The sequence below is a fragment of the Homo sapiens genome, chromosome 4 (genome assembly GCF_000001405.40).
Source record: "Homo sapiens chromosome 4, GRCh38.p14 Primary Assembly".
NCBI lineage: Eukaryota > Metazoa > Chordata > Mammalia > Primates > Hominidae > Homo > Homo sapiens.
The window spans coordinates 174,406,670-174,427,486 of NC_000004.12; the positions used below are offsets into that span (position 1 = coordinate 174,406,670).

Here is a 20,817-nt window from a genome sequence, read left to right on the forward strand (position 1 = left end):
TGTCTTGAAGATCAGACTGGAAACTTAGGCACCACCATTGAAGAACTTAAGAGGTGATAAATTCCACAGGGATGTGCATTTGGTGAAGACTGGCCACTTTAGTAAACACTAATCAGCTCTTATATATAGAAGTAGAAACCACAGAGAACTCCAACTGCATTATCAGACAGAAAAAACAAAAAGCATTGAATGTTACTTTGATTTTGTCCACACTTTCTTTTCTTTCCCAATGGATAGAGTCATAGAAATCATTCTAGAAAATAAAATGGGAAATGCAAATGTTTTCTAACTAGATGGCCTAATTTTGGAGTACTTCTAATTAACTGAACATTGGATGAAAGGGACTTGGGCTTTCTGTCTTCTTTAGTAAACTTTAGGGAGGTGGAACTTGTAAAATGTGGTGGGGAAAAGGTCTAAATTTCATCATTTCTCCTTAAATCTACAATTAAAAATATTGTATGTTCCCTAAAATTACACAGACCGATTTAATTTGGAAATTCTTATAATGGTATATTTTAGTTATTCTGAGAACATAATTACCTGCACTGAGTATATTTTTAAGGAAATGACTATTTCCCAAAAGTATTGGGTACAATAAGCTGCCATTCCGAGCCTCAGATACATTGGAACATGTTTTCATGCTACTACTTTTGATAAAGCTGATTTGAATCCGAATAAATTGTCAATAAAGAGAACACAGACTTGTATGGGTTTTATTTTACATATTCTTACATGTAAAATGAGAATTTTAAAAATTATTAAAAGGCAAGTCAAATGCCTGAGTTACTGATTATAATTAACAATTTTTGGAAGAAGAAATAAGAATGTAATCTCTTTTTTGTTTGTTTGTTTTTGAGACAGAGTCTTGCTCTGTCACCCAGGCTGGAGTGCAGTGTCGCAATCTCGGCTCACTGCAACCTCCGCTTCCCGAGTTCAAGCAATTCTCTTGCCTCAGCCTCCGGAGTAGTTGGGATTACAGGCACCCGCCACCACGCCAGGCTAATTTTTGTATTTTTAGTAGAGACAGGGTTTCACCATGTTAGCCAGGCTGGTCTCAAACTCCTGACCTCATGATCCACCCACCTCGGCCTCCCAAAGTGCTGGGATTACAGGCGTGAGCCAACGCGCCCTGCCAAGAATGTAAATTTTTTAACGTAGAAGAAGGCATCAGCCTGATTCTGAAGAGCATATTGGTATTCACTGATTAGATTAGCAAACTTAACATCAACATTCCAAATCACTACTAAGTTATTTTCTTACAAAAGCCTTCCATTATTAACCTTAAAGGCCGAAGTAAAGATTTATAGGACTAAGTGTTTGCTTTAGTCTTTTGGTACATAGTGATGTGATAGAAATTGTTGTGTGTGTGTGTGTGTGTGTGTTTGAGACGGAGTCTCGCTCTGTCGCCCAGGCTGGAGTGCAGTGGCGCCATCTCGGCTCACTGCAAGCTCCGCCTCCCGGGTTCACGCCATTCTCCTGCCTCAGCCTCCTGAGTAGCTGGGACTACAGGCGCCTGCCACCACGCCCTGAGAATTTTTTGTATTTTTAGTGGAGACGGGGTTTCACCGTGTTAGCCAGGATGGTCTCGATCACCTGACCTCGTGATCCGCCCGCCTCGGCCTCCAAAAGTGCTGGGATTACCGGCGTGAGCCACTGCGCCCGGCCTAGAAATTGTTTTTTTTTTTTTTTTTTGGTGGCGGGGGCAGATAGGCTGCCAGGGTTTTTATGTTGCTTTATTAAAATCATTTGTATACTGCTGAGGCTGGATTTTAAAGCTGTAATTCTGACCCATTTTCCTCTGCAGTTTGAAAGGAAACAAAACAAGAATGAAGTCTCAGCTGAAAATTACTTTCAGTCTGATCCCTTGGGCCTTGGCCTCCCAAAGTGCTGGGATTACAGGCGTGAGCCCGGTCGCCTGGCCTAGATTCTTTTTTAGCAGACAATGCACCTATCACTCATTTGCTCTAGTATTGGCTGATAACAGCCCTTATTCTAATAGCCCCTTCCTTTAAAGAATTGCCCTTGGCAGGCCTGGCTCAGTGTCTCACATCTGTAATCCCAGCACTTTGGGAGGCCGACGTGGGCGGATTACCTAAACTCAGTAGTTCAAGACCAGCTTGAGCAACATGGGGAAACACTGTCTCCATAAACAATACAAAAACAAAAACAAAAACAAATTAGCCACACATGGTGGCCTGCGCCTGCGGTCTCAGCTACTTAGGAGGCTGAGGGGGCAGAATCGCTTGAGTCCAGGAGATCGAGGCTGCATTGAGCCAAGATCATGCCACAGCACTCTAGCCTAAGCTACAGAGCTAGATCCTGTTTTTTTTTTTTTTAAATTGCCCCTGGCAACACCTGCCTGCCAGGAAAGCACCAACCTAACCTCCACCCTGCATGGAGGTATAAAAGGCTGGCTCATAGCCTCAAGGTCAGTCTACTTCTCTGGTAGAATTTCTTTTCCCAAGGGATCAGAGTGAAAGTAATTTTCAGCTGAGACTTCATTCTTGTTTTGTTTCCTTTCCCCTGTATATCCAGCTTTCCTCACTCAATTTTTTCTGAAGTACGCCCTCAACAAGTCACATAAACCAGAATCTTCATCTCAGTCTTTGTTTCTAGGAAATAAGACCCAATATAAGACGGTAAAGTCCAATCATGCACTAAAGCTGTGTAGTCCAATGTGGTAGTCACGAGCCACCTGCAGCTATTAAATAAAATAAACTAAGAATTCAGTTTCTCAACCGCAGTAGTCACATTTCAAGTGCTAAAGAGTCACATGCAGACATCACAAATATAGAACATTCCACCATTGCAAAAGCTTCTATTGGATAGCACTACACTAAAGGCTCTGTGCCCTGAAATGTTTCCTCTATTTCTACTCCTCCCCCTTAAACTCTCCAAGAAGGGCATAGTTAGTGCACAAGTGTAGTTTGAGACTTCAACATTCCTCTCTCAGTAATTGATAGAGCAAGTAGATATAAATCAATACAGATAGAGAAGACTTGAAAAGTGCTATCAAACAATGTGACCTAAGATATAAATAGAATATTCAACCTCTCATATCAGAATATATCACCTCAAGTGCACATGAAATGGTCATCAAAATATACAAATTTTAACCATGTAAAGTAATTGAAATCATCCAAGTATATTCTTTGATAATCATGAAATAAAAAATGGAAAATAATCTGGAATATCTTCACAATTTGAAAGTTGAACAAGGCACTTCTAAAATATTTCGTGGTTCAAATAGAAAGAAAAATTAGAAAATATTCTGAATTGAATGACAATGCAAGCACATTATGTGGGGTGCAGCTATAGCTACACTTAAAGGAAAACTCACAGCAGTAAGGGATATTTTAGAAAGGACCAAATTCTTTATATTGATGATATAAGTTTCACCTTAAGAGAGAAAAGAGTAATTTAATTCAAAGCAAGCAGAAGGAGACAATAAAGAATAAAAAGAAAAAGGATAAATTAATGAAATTAAAATCAGAAAAACGCCAGAAAAAATGAATGAAACAAAAAACTGGTTCTTTACAAAAATCAATGCAATTTATAGACAACTTTATGTCATAAATTGAAAATCTTTAGATAAATAGGCAAGTTCCTTAAAGGACACACACTACCAGTGCTCACTTAAAGAGAAATAGATAACCTTAATTGTCCTATACCTATTAAAGAAATTGAATTTGTGGTTAAAACCTTCCAGCAAAAAAAAAATCTGTGGTTCACTAATAAATTCTACTTAACATTTAAGGAAGAAATAATGCTAATTCTATGCAAGCTCTTATAGAAAATAAAAAAAGAAGAGGCCAGGCATAGAGACTCATGCTTGTAATTCCAGCACCTTGAGAGGCCAAGGTGGGAGGATTGCTTTAGCCCAGGAGTTTGAGACCAGGCTGGGCAACATAGAAAGACTCTTGTGTCTGCCAGGAATAAAAATAATTAGCTGGGCTTGATGGTATGCGCCTGTGGTCCCAGCAGCTTGGGAGGCTGAAATGGGAGGATGGCTTGAGTCTGGGAGGGCAAGGCTGTGGTGAGCCGTGATTGTGCCACTGCAGCTCAGCCTACGTGACAGAGTGAGACCAAGTCTCAAAAAAAAAAAAAACAAAAGGAAAGAAGGAAGAGAGGGAGGGAGGGAGGGAAACGAAAAAGAGGAAACTTTATCACTCATTCAATTAGGCTGGCATTACTGTATACCCAAACTAGCCAAAGTCATTAGAAGAAAACTTCATATCAAAACCCTACATTTACATTGACAGTATAATCCTCCACTAAACATTAGCACACTGAGTGGAGTAATATGAAAAATGATAATATATCATGACCAAATTCAGTTTATTCTAGAAACACAAGTTTGGTTTGAAGTTTGAAAATGAATTGATATTATTCAACATATCATTCAACATAAAATACTAAAAAAGAAAAGTCATATAATCATCTCAATAGATGCAGTAAAAATAATTGACATAATTGAATATTCACTCATGATCTAAACTCTCAATAAAGTAAGAATAAGCAGAAACTTCCTTACTGTGATAGAGGGCATCTTTGAAAAACATTCATTTGCCGTCACATTTAATGGTGAAAGACTTTTCCCTTAAGACTGGGACAAAAGCAAAGCTGTTGGCTGTCACCTTTCCTATTCATCATTGTCCTAGTCAGTTCAATAAGGGAATAAAATAAAATAAAAAGCATTCAGACTGGAAATGAAGTTGTCTTCGTAAGTTATGTGATTGTGTCTGTAGAAAATTCCAAAGAATCTACAAAAAATGACTAAGACTAAAAAGTGAGGTTAGCAAGTTTACAGAACACAAGATTAATATAAAAATCAACTCCATGTCCATATATAAAAAATCACTAGCAATGAAGAATTGGAAACTGAAATAATAATAGTTCTATTATGTCTGTGGCCTGTATGTAGAAAACTAAAAAAATTGCTAATGAAGTGTATCAAAGAAGACCTAAATAAATGGAGAGATATACTGTGTTCTTATATTAGAATATTCAATATTATTAAGATATGAATTCTCCCTAATTTGATTTATAGATTCTATGCAATCCCAATAAAAATTCTAGCAGAATTTTTAATAGAAATTTACAAAATAATTCTTTTTCTCATTTACATTTACTCAATTTATTTATCTTTAATAGTTTATCTGTATTACTCATGAGAACCTAGACATTAGACAAAACTAATCAACCCAAGTTATTCTCCTGTTAACCTTTTTTTTTTTTTAATTATACTTTAAGTTTTAGGGTACATGTGCACAACATGCAGGTTAGTTACATACGTATACATGTGACATGTTGGTGTGCTGCACCCATTAACTCATCATTTACATTAGGTATATCTCCTAATGCTATCCCTCGCCCCTCCCCCCACCCCACAACAGGCCCCGGTGTGTGATGTTCCCCTTCCTGTGTCCATGTGTTCTCATTGTTCAATTCCCACCTATGAGTGAGAACATGTGGTGTTTGGTTTTTTGTCCTTGCGATAGTTTGCTGAGAATGATGGTTTCCAGCTTCATCCATGTCCCTACAAAGGACATGAACTCATCATTTTTTATAGCTGCATAGTATTCCATGGTGTATATGTGCCACATTTTCTTGATCCAGTCTATCATTGTTGGACATTTGGGTTGGTTCCAAGTCTTTGCTATTGTGAATAGTGCCACAATAAACATACATGTGCATGTGTCTTTATAGTAGCATGATTTATAGTCCTTTGGGTATATACCCAGTAATGGGATGGCTGGGTCAAATGGTATTTCTAGTTCTAGATCCCTGAGGAATCCACACACTGACTTCCACAATTGTTGAACTAGTTTACAGTCCCACCAACAGTGTAAAAGTGTTCCTATTTCTCCACATCCTCTCCAGCACCTGTTGTTCCCTGACTTTTTAATGATAGCCATTCTAACTGGTGTGAGATGGTGTCTCATTGTGGTTTTGATTTGCATTTCTCTGATGGCCAGTGATGGTGAGCATTTTTTCATGTGTCTTTTGGCTGCATAAATGTCTTCTTTTGAGAAGTGTCTGTTCATATCCTTCGCCCACTTTTTGATGGGATTGTTGGTTTTTTTCTTGTAAATTTGTTTGAGTTCTTTGTAGATTCTGGATATCAGCCCTTTGTCAGATGAGTAGATTGCAAAAATTTTCTCCCATTCTGTAGGTTGCCTGTTCACTCTGATGGTAGCTTCTTTTGCTGTGCAGAAGCTCTTTAGTTTAATTAGATCCCATTTGTCAATTTTGGCTTCTGTTGCCATTGCTTTTGGTGTTTTAGCCATGAAGTCCTTGCCCTTGCCTATGTCCTGAATGGTATTGCCTAGGTTTTCTTCTAGGGTTTTTATGGTTTTAGGTCTAAGATTTAAGTCTTTAATCCATCTGGAATTAATTTTTGTATAAGGTGTAAGGAAGGGATCCAGTTTCAGCTGTCTACATATGGCTAGCCAGTTTTCCCAGTACCATTTATTAAATAGGGAATCATTTCCCCATTTCTTGTTTTTGTCAGGTTTGTCAAAGATCAGATGTTTGTAGATGTGTGGTATTATTTCTGAGGGCTCTGTTCTGTTTCATTGGTCTATATCTCTGTTTTGGTACCAGTACCATGCTGTTTTGGTTACTGTAGCCTTGTAGTATAGTTTGAAGTCAGGTAGCATGATGCCTCCAGCTTTGTTCTTTTGGCTTAGGATTGTTTTGGCAATGCGGGCTCTTTTTTGGTTCCATATGAACTTTAAAGTAGTTTTTTCCAATTCTGTGAAGAAAGTCATTGGTAGCTTGATGGAGGATGGCATTGAATCTATAAATTACCTTGGGCAGTATGGTCATTTTCATGATACTGATTCTTCCTATCCATGAGAATGGAATGTTCTTCCATTTGTTTGTATCCTCTTTTATTTCGTTGAGCAGTGGTTTGTAGTTCTCCTTGAAGAGGTCCTTCATATCCCTTGTAAGTTGGATTCCTAGGTATTTTATTCTCTTTGAAGCAATTGTGAATGGGAGTTCACTCATGATTTGACTCTCTGTTTGTCTGTTATTGGTGTATAAGAATGCTTGTGATATTTGCACATTGATTTTGTATCCTGAGACTTTGCTGAAGTTGCTTATCAGCTTAAGGAGATTTTGGGCTGAGACGATGGGGTTTTCTAAATATACAGTCATGTCATCTGCAAACAGGGACAATTTGACTTCCTCTTTTCCTAATTGAATACCCTTTATTTCTTTGTCCTGCCTGATTGCCCTGGCCAGAACTTCCAACACTATGTTGAATAGTAGTGGTGAGAGAGGGCATCCCTGTCTTGTGCCCGTTTTCAAAGGGAATGCTTCCAATTTTTGCCCATTCAGTATGATGTTGGCTTTGGGTTTGTCATAAATAGCTCATTATTTTGAGATAAGTCCCATCAATACCTAGTTTATTGAGAGTTTTTAGCATGAAGGGTTGTTGAATTTTGTCAAACGCCTTTTTTGCATCTATTGAGATAATCATGTGGTTTTTGTCTTTGGTTCTGTTTATATGCTGGATTATGTTTATTGATTTGCTTATGTTGAACCAGCCTTGCATCCCAGGGATGAAGCCCACTTGGTCATGGTGGATAAGCTTTTTGATGTGCTGCTGGATTTGGTTTGCCAGTATTTTATTGAGGATTTTTGCATCGTTGTTCATCAGGGATATTGTTCTAAAATTCTCTTTTTTTGTTGTGTCTCTGCCCGGCTTTGGTATCAGAATGATGCTGGCCTCATAAAATGAGTTAGGGAGGATTCCCTCTTTTTCTATTGATTGGAATAGTTTCAGAAGGAATGGTACCAGCTCCTCCTTGTACCTCTGGTAGAATTTGGCTGTGAATACTTCTGGTCCTGGACTTTTTTTGGTTGGTAGGCTATTAATTATTGCCTTAACTTCAGAGCCTGTTATTCGTCTATTCAGGGATTCAACTTCTTCCTGGTTTAATCTTGGGAGGATGTATGTGTCCAGGAATTTATCCATTTCTTCTAGATTTTCTAGTTTATTTGCATAGAGGTGTTTGTAGTATTCTCTGATGGTAGTTTGTATTTCTGTGGGATCAGTGGTGATATCCCCTTTATCATTTTTTATTGCATCTATTTGATTCTTCTCTTTTCTTCTTTATTAGTCTTGCTAGCGGTCTATCAATTTTGTTGATCTTTCGAAAAACCAGCTCCTGGATTCATTGATCTTTGGAAGCGTTTTTTGTGTCTCTATCTCCTTCAGTTCTTCTCTGATCTTAGTTCTTTCTTGCCTTCTGCTAGCTTTTGAATGTGTTTGCTCTTGCTTCTCTAGTTCTTTTAATTGTGATGTTAGGGTGTCAATTTTAGATCTTTCCTGCTTTCTCTTGTGGGGCATTTAGTGCTATAAATTTCCCTCTACACACTGCTTTAAATGTGTCCCAGAGATTCTGGTATGTTGTGTCTTTGTTCTTATTGGTTTCAAAGAACATATTTATGTCTGCCTTCATTTCGTTATGTACCCAGTAGTCATTCAGGAGCAGGTTGTTCAGTTTCCATGTAGTTGAGTGGTTTTGAGGGAGTTTCTTAACCCTGAGTTCTAGTTTGATTGCACTGTGGTCTGAGAGACAGTTTGTTATAATTTCTGTTCTTTTACATTTGCTGAGGAGTGCTTTACTTCCAACTGTGTGGTCAGTTTTGGAATAAGTGTGATGTGGTACTGAGAAGAATGTGTATTCTGTTATTTGGGGTGGAGAGTTCTGTAGATTTCTATTAGGTCTGCTTGGTGCAGAGCTGAGACTAATTCCTGGATATCCTTGTTAACTTTCTGTCTCGTTGATCTGTCTAATGTGGACAGTGGGGTGTTAAAGTCTCCCATTATTATTGTGTGAGAGTCTAAGTCTCTTTGTAGATCTCTAAGGAATTGCTTTATGAATCTGGGTGCTCCTGTATTGGGTGCATATATATTTAGGATAGTTAGCTCTTGTTGTTGAATTGATCCCTTTACCATTATGTAATGCCTTCTTTGTCTCTTTTGATCTTTGTTGGTTTCAAGTCTGCTTTATCAGAGACTAGGATTGCAACCCCTGCCTTTTTTTTGTTTTCCATTTGCTTGGTAGATCTTCCTGAATCCCTTTTTTTTGAGCATATGTGTGTCTCTGCATGTGAGATGGGTCTCCTGAATACAGCACACTGACGGGTCTTGACTATTTATCCAATTTGCCAGTGTGTGTCTTTTAACTGGAGCATTTAGCCCATTTACATTTAAGGTTCATATTGTTATATGTGAATTTGATCCTGTCATTATGACGTTGGCTGGTTATTTTGCTCATTAGTTGATGCAGTTTCTTCCTAGCATTGATGTCTTTACAATTTGTCATATTTTTGCAGTGGCTGGTACTGGTTGTTCCTTTCCATGTTTAACGCTTCCTTCAGGAGCTCTTGTAGGGCAGGCCTGGTGGTGCCAAAATCTCTCAGCATTTGCGTGTCTGTAAAGTATTTTATTTCTCTTTCACTTATGAAGCTTAGTTTGGCTGGATATGAAATTCTGGTTTGAAAATTCTTTTCTCTAAGAATGTTGAATATTGGCCCCCACCCTCTTCTGGCTTGTAGAGTTTCTGCTGAGAGACCTGCTGTTAGTCTGATGGGCTTCCTTTTGTGGGTAACCCGACCTTTCTTTCTGGCTGCCCTTAACATTTTTTCCTTCATTTCAAATTTGGTGAATCTGACAATTATGTGTCTTGGAGTTGCTCTTCTCGAGGAGTAACTTTGTGGCGTTCTCTGTATTTCCTGAATCTGAATGTTTGCCTGCCTTGCTAGGTTGGGGAAGTTCTCCTGGATAATATCCTGCAGAGTGTTTTCCAACTTGGTTCCATTCTCTCCATCACTTTCAGGTACACCAATCGGATGTAGATTTGGTCTTTTCACATAGTCCGATATTTCTTGGAGGCTTTATTCATTTCTTTTTACTCCTTTTTCTCTAAACTTCTCTTCTCACTTCACTGCATTCATTTGATCTTCAATCACTGATACCCTTTCTTCCAGTTGATCAAATTGGCTACTGACGCTTGTGTATTCATCACGTAGTTCTCGTGCCGTGGTTTTCAGCTCCATCAGGTCATTTAAGGACTTCTCTACACTGGTTATTCTAGTTAGCCATTTGTCTAATCTTTTTTCAAGGTTTTTAGCTTCTTTGTGATGGGTTTGAACTTCCTCCTTTAGCTGGGAGAAGTTTGATCGTCTGAAGCCTTCTTCTCTCAACTCGTCAAAGTCATTCTCCGTCCAGCTTTGTTCCATTGCTGGCGAGGAGCTGCGTTCCTTTGGAGTGGGAGAGGTGCTCTGATTTTTAGAATTTTCAGCTTTTCTGCTCTGTTTTTTCCCCATCTTTGTGTTTTATCTACCTTTGGTCTTTGATGATGGTGACATACAGATGGGGTTTTGGTGTCACATCCTTTCTGTTTGTTAGTTTTCCTTCTAACAGTCAGGACCCTCAGCTGCAGGTCTGTTGGAGTTTGCTGGAGGTCCACTCGAGACCCTGTTTGCCTGGGTATCAGCAGTGGAGGCTGCAGAACAGCGAATATTGCTGAACAGCAGATGTTGCTGCTTGATCGTTCCTCTGGAAGCTTCATCTCAGAGGGGTACCCAGCTGTGTGAGGTGTCAGTCTGCCCCTACTGGGGGTGCTTCCCAGTTAGGCTACTCGGGGGTCAGGGACCCACTTGAGGAGGCAGTCTGCTCATTCTCAGATCTCAAACTCCGTGCTGGGAGAACCACTACTCTCTTCAAAGCTGTCAGACAAGGACATTTAAGTCTGCAGAGGTTTCTGCTGCCTTTTGTTCGGCTATGCCCTGCTCCCAGAGGTGGAGTCTACAGGGGCAGGCAGGCCTCCTTGAGCTGCGGTGGGCTCCACCCAGTTTGAGCTTCCCAGCCGCTTTGTTTACCTACTCAAGCCTCAGCAATGGTGGGCACTCCTCCCCCAGCCTCGCTGCCACCTTGCAGTTCGATCTCAGACTGCTGTGCTAGCAATGAGCGAGGCTCCATGGGCATGGGACCCTCCCAGCCAGGCGCAGGATATAATCTCTTGGTGTTCCATTTGCTAAGACCATTGGAAAAGTGCAGTATTAGGGTAGGAGTGACCCAATTTTCCAGGTGCCATCTGTCACCCCTTCCCTTGGCTAGGAAAGGGAATTCCCTGACCCCTTACGCTTCCCGGGTGAGGTGATGCCTCGCCCTGCTTTGGCTCATGCTCAGTGGGCTCTACCCACTGTCCTGCCCCCACTGTCTGACGAGCCCCAGTGAGATGAACCCGGTACCTCAGTTGGAAATGCAGAAATCACCTGTCTTCTGTGTTGCTCACACTGGGAGCTGTAAACTGGAGCTGTTCCTATTCGGCCATCTTGGAACCACCCTTTAAAGGTTGCTGAATTTTATGTAATGAAAATATCATTAGAATATCAGATGTAACTCATAATTTAGTACTTTTTGTAAGCATAGCAAAAAGTATAAAATAAATATCAATTTATTTGAATATTTAAATTTGTTTCTCCTATTGATATTGTTGATTTGCTCGTCCACTTGAAAGAGGCAGGAATCATCACTGTAGTATTCAAACCATGAGTGTTATAGTGGTTTACAAGAATTAGGAATGAAAGGAAAAGAAAATATGTACAAAACTTAGAGAAAATGGTAGGAGACATACCCTTGGATGGACACCATCTTAATATTTGGAATGTTACTGTAATCCTACAATTCATTTAAAAAATATTTTACATAGATCTCGTGCAAGCTTGAAAGTAAGAAAAGTGCAGATTTTTTAAAAATTTCTATTATCAGAAAGAGTTCTTTAAGTTAAAATAAGAACAAAAACACATGGAAATATGAAGTGAAGAAATTTGGTAAAAATTTAGCATACATAAAATCTAGGTAATAATTTGAACATAACCCATTAGATTATTGTTAATTTATTTTCCAAGATAACATTAAATTACTGCATCTCTGATTACTAAGATTTGGTTAATTTATTTTTTATTTTCATGCTATTTTCAAAGACATGAAAAGAATCTACAAATTTTAGCCATTAGTACTATCTTTCTATTTAAGAGATGCTAACTGATAACAAAATAAGGTCTGATTGGCATATTTCTGCATATTTTACGTCATATTTCAGTAACTGTGCTAAAGAATGATGCAATATCATAAAAGATAGTAGCAAGATTGAAAAAAGCTAAATTATATCATAAATCACAAATGAGGGTGAGTTGTCATTTCTATAACTACTAAGAAATATCCCGATCTGGAAAAGCTAAAGATTTAGCTATTGCTAAAGATTTTGGGTAAGAAAAATTTACTGTATTGTCATTGACCTAATGAGGATCACTGATTCATTAAAAAGTAAGTAAACATCTCTGGAACCCAGATTTTTATCAACCATGACCTTTGGCCTAAATTTGTGAATGCATTCAATTCACTATGTTGCTTTTGGCAAGCGAAGACACAATAGCTAAATTCTGACACGTTATGCATAAAGAGAGCCTTTCTTTCTTTTTCTTTTTTGACCACATCTTCTAAACTTAACAAAGTCTCTCTCTATATGTAGTCTTATATTATATATATATAATATAAAGTCTATATACTATATATAACATAGTCTTTTATATAGAATATAAAGTCTATATATTATGCATATGTAATTTTTTTTTTTGAGAGAGGGTCTCACTCTTGTCACCCATGCTAGAGTGCAGTGGTGTGATATCGGCTCACTGCAACCTCCACCTCCCTGGCTCAAGCAATCCTCCCACCTCAGACTCCAGAGTAGCTGGGACCACAGACACACGCCACCATGCCTGGCTAATTTTTGTATTTTTTGCAGAAATGGGCTTTCCCAGTGTTGCCCAAGCTAGTCTCAAGCTGGACTCGAACTCCTGAGCTCAAGTTATCCACCTGCCTTGGCCTCCCAAACGCTGGGGGATTACAGGCGTGAGCCACTGTGCCTGGCCCCAGATATATATTTTTAAATCTCACTCCTTCAAGGAACTTTACTCAGTTTACATATTGCGAACATCTGTCCTTGGTGGTATTATTCTCTGCTTTCTCCCTCCTATCCTTTTCCTGCATAAATAGTATTGCTCTTCACATAGTATGTAGATTAGATACTATCTTTTTTTAAGGCAGTTTACTTATTTGAGAGAAAGAGACATGCTATATTCATATAATATATCTGATGTATAAAACTCATAAATAAGGTTTGCCTTACTTTAAGACTTAGATTTATTGGGGGAACCAGATATCCTAATGACTGTCAAGTTTTAAATTTTATGATTCCTCTCTCTGTCTTAAATTCCAAATCCACATTTCCCTGAATCTACTTAACTATATGATTATGTCTCACAAGCAGTTCACACTCAATGCATAGCTATATGTATTATCTTGCTTCCTATATACAAGTGAGTACAATCATTATAATACAACTTTCTAAATGTCTACTTTAACCTATTTTACAAATCTGAAAAATCATAATAATAACACCTATCTTCTAAATTTGTGAGAATTATATGAACTAATATGTGTACAGTGCTTTGTAGAGACCAGCGATTTTCAGAATTATTTTTATTGCCCCCTTTAGCAACGTGTTCTTGGTTACTATATTTATATTTCCTTCCTGTCTCTCAAATTTTTTTCCATCTCTCTTCTTCTTCCTGCCACTTCCTTGGTTATGTTTTCTCATCTACATTATTTCACAAACCACCTACCTTATCTTTTGGCCTGCAAACCAGACCATACCCTGTATGCTCAGCGTATCCTCTACGCTGCGGGAAGAGTGACAGCAAGAAAGTTAAATGCTGATTTTATCACCATGATTCTTCAAAATCCCTCAACTCTTTGCAAAAATAAAAGATAACACCCATTGTCGGTAAGCATGCTAGAAAATGGCATCTCACATGCCATCATAGGCATGAAAATTGACATTTTTTCAGAAAGCGACTTGCCTCTATACCAAACCCTTTCAATAGTACTTCTTGCTTGACCCAGCAGTGCCACTTACATGTATAATCCTGAACTAAAGGAGAAAATGTGCTCTGGATTTCTGGCAAAGCTTCCTTTAAGAGCAAAACCCTTTTTCAACAAGTGGTCATACGCTAGGAGAAAAACAATAGGAAATAATAATAATAAAAAAGAGAACTACCTTTACTGGTGCCAAGAGTAGAAAACAACAATCACATACCATAAAATCAAGGAAATATCATCCAAATCTAGGGAAAATTTAATTATCCAGAAGGCACCAAGACTGAGAAAAGAATGCATCATTGTGGAAAATAAGTGGAGAACATTTTGGTGACAGTTGGGAGAAGTATCGTTGGTCCCAGCTGACTTGGGGGACAGTCTCATTTGCTGCCCATGGCCTCAGATCAGTATCACTGCAAGGCTGTTAGAAGCACGGCTGTGGAATAAAGCATGTAGTCAAGCCACACAATTCTTTGCTGACAGAATTTGAAGTAGGTTTAATTTTCTTCTCTATGTTTTCCCCATTTTCAAATTTCCAAAGATGAAAAATTAATTTGACAGCAAAAAAACAAAAAACAATAAAAATAATGGTGGCTTCTTAATTCCTTATTTTAATGGGCAAAGTTATTCCCTCTCTGTTTATACTCCAGATATTCCACATGTGCTAAAACATTTAGAAATCTTCTAAAATACGATATGTTCTTTTTCCCTTCCATATCTTTGCAACTACTTTCCCCTGCAACCGTCTAGGGAGTTCCTTGTAATTATATGTCACTCAACTGAAAATTTACCTTCTTTATGAAATATTCTGTGATGTCTGTGTGCATGATTACATATTTCCACTTTTGTGTTCCCACTGTACTCTGTCAGCATCTAAGTTGTGGTACTCACCACACCAGTAAATTTCTGTGTACATTTCTCTCTCCTGTACCATGAGAGCTCTAGGACTGCAGGAATTGTTATTTTAAACTTTGTATGGAATTTAGTAAATGCTTATTGAATCAACTCATAAGAAAATTGGATGCTAATATTTTACTTTCTTCAGTTTCCTCATTGGGTTTAGTGGAGAAATTTCTCACAATATTGCCTGAAGGACAAGTTTGAGTACAGGTACATTATTCTTACATATTTTTTCTTTTTATATTTGTCATTATATGTCCATTTCCAGTGAATAAGTGTTTAATTACATTTGTTCATTCCATATTCACATTCCATTTACTGTTCAGAATGTGGAGATCATGTTTCTTGTGTTTGACTTGCTTCACACATGGGAGAAGTTGCATGCATGTGAATTCACTTAAATTATTTCACAAAGCAGAAGGGCACGGTGGCTCATGCCTGTAATCCCAGCACTTTGGGAGGCTGAGGTGGGTGGAACACTGGAGGTCAGGAGTTTGAGACCAGCCTGGCCAACATGGTAAAACCCTGTCTCTACTAAAAATACAAAAATTAGCCAGCATCGTGGCACAGGAGCTGCCTGTAGCCCCAGCTACTCAGGAGGCTGAAACAGGAGAATCGCTTGAACCCAGGAGGCAGAGGTTGCAGTGGGCTGAGATCGTGCCACTGCACTCCAGCCTGGGGGACAGAGCAAGACCATGTCTCAAAAAAAAAAAAAAAAAAAATTCACAAAGTGATGACTGCATTTTCATTCCATCAAAAATAAAAATTATTAGAGTTACTAATTGTATTATTTATCAGATGTGGAAGCAAAAGGATTTTCAATTCACTGTGCAGAGGAGGTATGCTTATAGAGACTCAAGAAAACAATCTGATTGTTTTAATTTTTCTCTAAGCTCGCCTGCCAAAAAAAGAATTCTGATCTGGCTCTTAGATTTTAGTAGATTAAATTTATGGAAAACAGGAATATGGTCCTATGCAAAATGTTCCGGTAAAAGTTTTTATGCTGATATTGAGTGAATTTTAAGCTTATTTAGTCTAAAGTAAAACACTAAGTTTTTTCCAGAACCTCAACTAAACCCAAATATTTGGAGAAAAAAAAGGAAGCAAAAACAAATGTTCAATTGTATGACAGAAGTTAATTTCAAAAATGAATGATGAAAGATGTTGACTTTTTTCTGTTATAACAACATATAACATATAATATTATAGCAGTAATATTATAATGACATAATTGTTTTCATTTCTTTTAACAAAATCATTAAATTGGTCCTTTCCACGCTTTACTACAAACTCTTTCAATTGTCTTCCATTTCTTTGACAAGCTAGAAGGGTCTAGATGTTTCTCATGTGGTGAGCCCTGTCAAACACTTTTAAGTTTGCATTTTTTTCCAGATAAATGTAACAATACCCATAAATCACACTTATTTGGATTCTTATCTAATATTGCATTGCAATAATTGGAAATAAGGCAAAAGCTTTTTGGAAGGTATGCAACACTTTACTCTCAAACCTCAGATAAAATCTAAAACCTGTGTGAGACTAAACTGAAAAGAGGAAGAGGGAAAGAAGGAAACATATTCAATGGAGGACACTGTGCTAAAATGTAATTTTACATTTCCATTGAATCCTATTTTATCAAAACCTGCATTTTTAGTTTTAATTTTGATTCATAGTGTGATTTGGGAATCATTGAAATGACACATGTTAAAGATTACAATACAAATAACACAATTTGCACTTCCAGTTTGCAGAATTTCCGATTTGGCAGTTTGCCAGCTCTTTGAATCTAAGAGAAACAGGGAAACAAAATTTCTGCAGAAGTGTTACTTCTTTCCAAAACATGATCCAGACATTCATAGAACCATTGAATTCGCTATTGCTATTCTGACTACCGGAGAAATACAACCTTTTTGCGTGTGTGTGTGTGTGTGTGTATATGTGTGTGTGTCATGTGACATTTGGCATTGGGGCTGGTGGAGGAAGATAAAACAAAACTGCATGTCTTGCCTGTTTTTCTGTTGAGTCTGACATCTGAGGTGTAAATTCAACAAAAATTAGACATCTCCTTAGATAAGATGACTCTAAATAAATATTCTATTTATAGTTCTCTGCTGACATAAATATAGCTTGCTTAATCATGCACGTATCCTGGAATATGTGTAAAGCCAATTTTGCTAAAGTGATTAATTTGTAGACTGTGTATTTTTTCTTATGTGTTCCTTGAGTCAATGAGTTAAATAATGGGATATGCTGTGGGCATGTCACAGTCTGACTCAGTGACTCATGTGCTGGCAGTGGCCACGTAAATAGAGCTACTGTGTCTGAAAGCAATGGGTAGCTAGAAACCTTTTTGACAGCTCATATGAAAACTTAAAGAATTTCAAAACAGGCTGGGTGTGGTGGCTCATGCCTGCAATCCCAGTACTTTGGGAGGCTGGGGTGGGAGGATCATTTGAGCCCAGAATCTTGAGACCACCCTGGGCAGCCTCGCAAGACCCTATCTCTGCATGTAAAAACAACAACAAAAAATTATAATAGTAATAAAAAAGAAGTTCAAAACGAAAAATATTTGCAAGGATTTTGTTTCTGGGTTTTTTGATTTTGTTATTAGATTTTTAATTAAAATAGAATAAAAACCTGAACTTCAAAATCAAGATCTGCTTATTTGGAAATTTTGTCTGTTACTCAAGTCTGTCCTTTTAATTTTTCAGAATAAATTAATATTATCTATTTCTAGATCTCCTACATTGCAGTTTCTTCCAGATTAATAACAGTATATTTAAAAATTATTTTTCAACAGAGCAGTGTACCTTTGCCAGGCTGTAGTCCGACATGATAAGATAATGGAATCGTATGTTAAGCAGACTATCATCTTGATTCCAAGAATTCATCTAGGAAAATTACTTAACAATTGATGATTTTGAATTATTTATCCTGAGAGATTTTGCCAAATCCCAAAGTAAAAATCATTGGAATTACTAATAGTACTAGCAAGCATATGTACTACATAGGGTGCTAGGAAACCTACTAGCTTTCTAGCCTTGTTGACTAGGTTTAGAACCTCACCTCTGCCAGTTACAAACTACAAACTGTGTGAAGTTAGGTCTAAGTTCTTTACCTTCTTTATCTTCAGTTCCTTATTTATAAATAGATAAAGTACTAATCATACCTATAGGATTTTTTAAGATCAAAAAACAGAATGCTATTTTTAAAATTTTCCTTACACCATACCTAGCATAAGTAAATCCTCAATTTATAGTAGTTTCTGCTATATTTTTAAGCTCATAAACAAAAGGACATGTTGCAGTTACACCTATTAATACTAGATGGATCAATAAAAACAGGTATTTTAGCAAATATAAAACTTCAATAATGAAAATCATATAATGACTGAAGAGTGTTAGTTTTATGATTTTTTTTCTTTTCTTTTATTTTCTTTTTTTTTTTTTTGGAGACAGGGTTTCACTCTGTTGCTTAGGCTGGAATGCAGTGGTGCAATCACAGCAGGGTCTCACTGTGTTGTCCAGGCTGGTCTTGAACTCCTGGGCTCAAGTGATCCTCCCACCTTGGCCTCCCAAAGTTCTGGGATTACAGGTGTCAGTCCCTGTGCCTGGCCAGTTTTGTTGTATTATTGTTGTAAACATTTTGGCAATACTGGGACAACTTAATTTATCAAAAATCAACAAAATGTTTTAAGAGCTCTGTATTGTTTTTGGCTCAATTAATTTGGCTTAAAAGCAAAAGATTGAGTTACCTGGATATGTTTAATTCTACCATAAACTTATTTCATAAGGATCTGTGGGGAAGCTTTGTAAATTTTTGTTTCCAGTTATCTAACTTCAGAGATTATTTTTTTAAAAGGAAAATATCAGAATTTTCTATTTTTAATAAAGTAGAACAAGAATTTTTTAAACGTTTTATTTTACCATAATTTCAAGTTTTACAGAGAGATTATCCGAATAGAACAAATGATCCTCATTTTATTCTTTACCTAGATTCACAAATTATTAACATTTTTGCTCTGGTTGCTTTATCATTTACTCTCTTAATAAACATTTTTTAACCTTTCGAACAGTGTGTGTTTCCTAAGAAAAACACATTCTCTTGAATAACTAGTAAAATTACCAGAGTAAAAAAATATATATACCATTTATATAATAGGAATACCTCTTCCAGAGCCAATATTCAAATTTAGTCCATTATCCCAACAATGTCCTGTGTTTTTTTTCCTGGTCTAAAATTTAACTCAGTGGTAAGAATTGTGCTTAATCATCATGTCCCTGGAGTGTTTTTAATCTAGATTAAATCCTCAGTCTTTTCCCTTATAACCTTGGCAGCTTGGAGAGTACCTGTTATTTTGTGGAATGTCACTCAGTTTGGGTCTGTCTGATATTTCCTCTGTTTAGAACCAGGTCATGCATGTCAGATAGGGAAACAGACATGAGACTGTACTCTTCTCAGCACATCACATCAGCAGGCAACATGATGCTGGTCTGTCCCATGATTGGTGATGTTAGCTACGATTGATTGGCTAAGATGGTTCTGCTAGGTTTTTCCACTGCAAATTTTTTATTTTCCCCTTAGTAATTTATAATTAATTTGTGGAGAGATACTTTGAAGATACCTAAATCTTCTTTATTCCCCAAACTTTGACCTACTCATTTAAGTACTCATTGATAATTTTTGCTTACATCAATTTTTATTGTAATAGTTCCAAAATGGTGATTTTCTAAGTCTACCATCCCTTCTACATTTATTAGCTGACATTCCACTTAAAGGGATAAGATTCCCCCAGTACTAATTTAGTTTTTGTTCATTTATTTAGATTTGGATGGATTAATTGATTCTTAGAGAACTCAATGATTAATAATCCATCACCAGGATTATTATCAGGACTCTTTGAGCTATCTCTTCCTGGGGTTGGCTTTAACTCAATTGTCCCTTATCTTTCTTGTGCATTTTTTCAGAACCCCTTTTCTTTGTGGGAATGACTTCAGAAGAGCTTCGAAAGTTAGCTATGCTGGAATTTGGTGCTTATTTTTATACCTATGGGTAATTTTCACTTGTAATATTTTTCTGTCTTCTAATTTTGCCAAAGGTGAGAATTTTGTGTGGTTTTATTCTTGTTGCTTAGAGGTTGTTTGAGGAGATTTGGGTTCAGGCAGCTGTTATTCATATACCTCAGCTGCTCAGGACTCTTGGATGCAAAGACTTTCACCATCTGGCTTAACAGTTCCTTTAACGAGGAGGAATCGTCTTGTTTGTAAACTAACGTGAGAAACTATATTTCAGTATAATGTGAAAACTTAACAGCATGGGTTATAAGAAAATAAAAATGAAGAAGAGCTATATTCTTTGTGAAAGTGATGAACAAATATTAGAAAAAGAGTCGTAGCCAGGCGCCGTGGCTGACGCCTGTGATCCCAGCACTTTGGGAGCCTGAGGCAGGTGGATCACTTGAGGTCATGAGTTTGGGACCAGGCTGGGCAACGTGGTAAAACCCCGTCTCTACTAAAAATATAAAAATACTGGGGCATGGTGGCATATGCCTGTAATCCCAGCTACTCGGGAGGCTGAGACAGGAGAATCGCTTGAACCTGGGAGGCAGAGTTTGCGGTGAGCCAAGATTGTGCCACTGCACTCCAGCCTGGGGGACAGAGTGAGACTCCGACTCAAAAAAAAACAAGTAGTAAAAAGAGTAAGAAAGAAGAGAGGAGAAAGAAACAGACATGGCCGAGTAACATAGCAGAGCAAATATCCATGGAGGAAAATGAACAGTAAGAGATTATTGAAGGCAGGTCAAATAAATGTAAACAGTGAGAAAGTATAATATTAAATTTTAAAATTTCAAAGGCCATGTAAATACATTTATGTATCATTTCAAATCATAAGGTAAATGTAACACATGAACAAATATTATGGGTGAGCTGTTTATAGGTTATTCAGAGGAATAA

The 20,817-nt window shown here is 37.5% G+C and overlaps 1 non-coding gene across 1 annotated transcript; it reads left to right on the forward strand.

Annotated features, from left to right (window-relative positions):
- The first annotated feature begins 17,125 nt into the window (after positions 1-17,125).
- MIR4276 (microRNA 4276) lies at positions 17,126-17,195 on the forward strand. The gene has a single exon (NR_036236.1). It is a non-coding gene; the product is annotated as a microRNA 4276 (primary transcript).
- Positions 17,196-20,817: the final 3,622 nt, after the last annotated feature.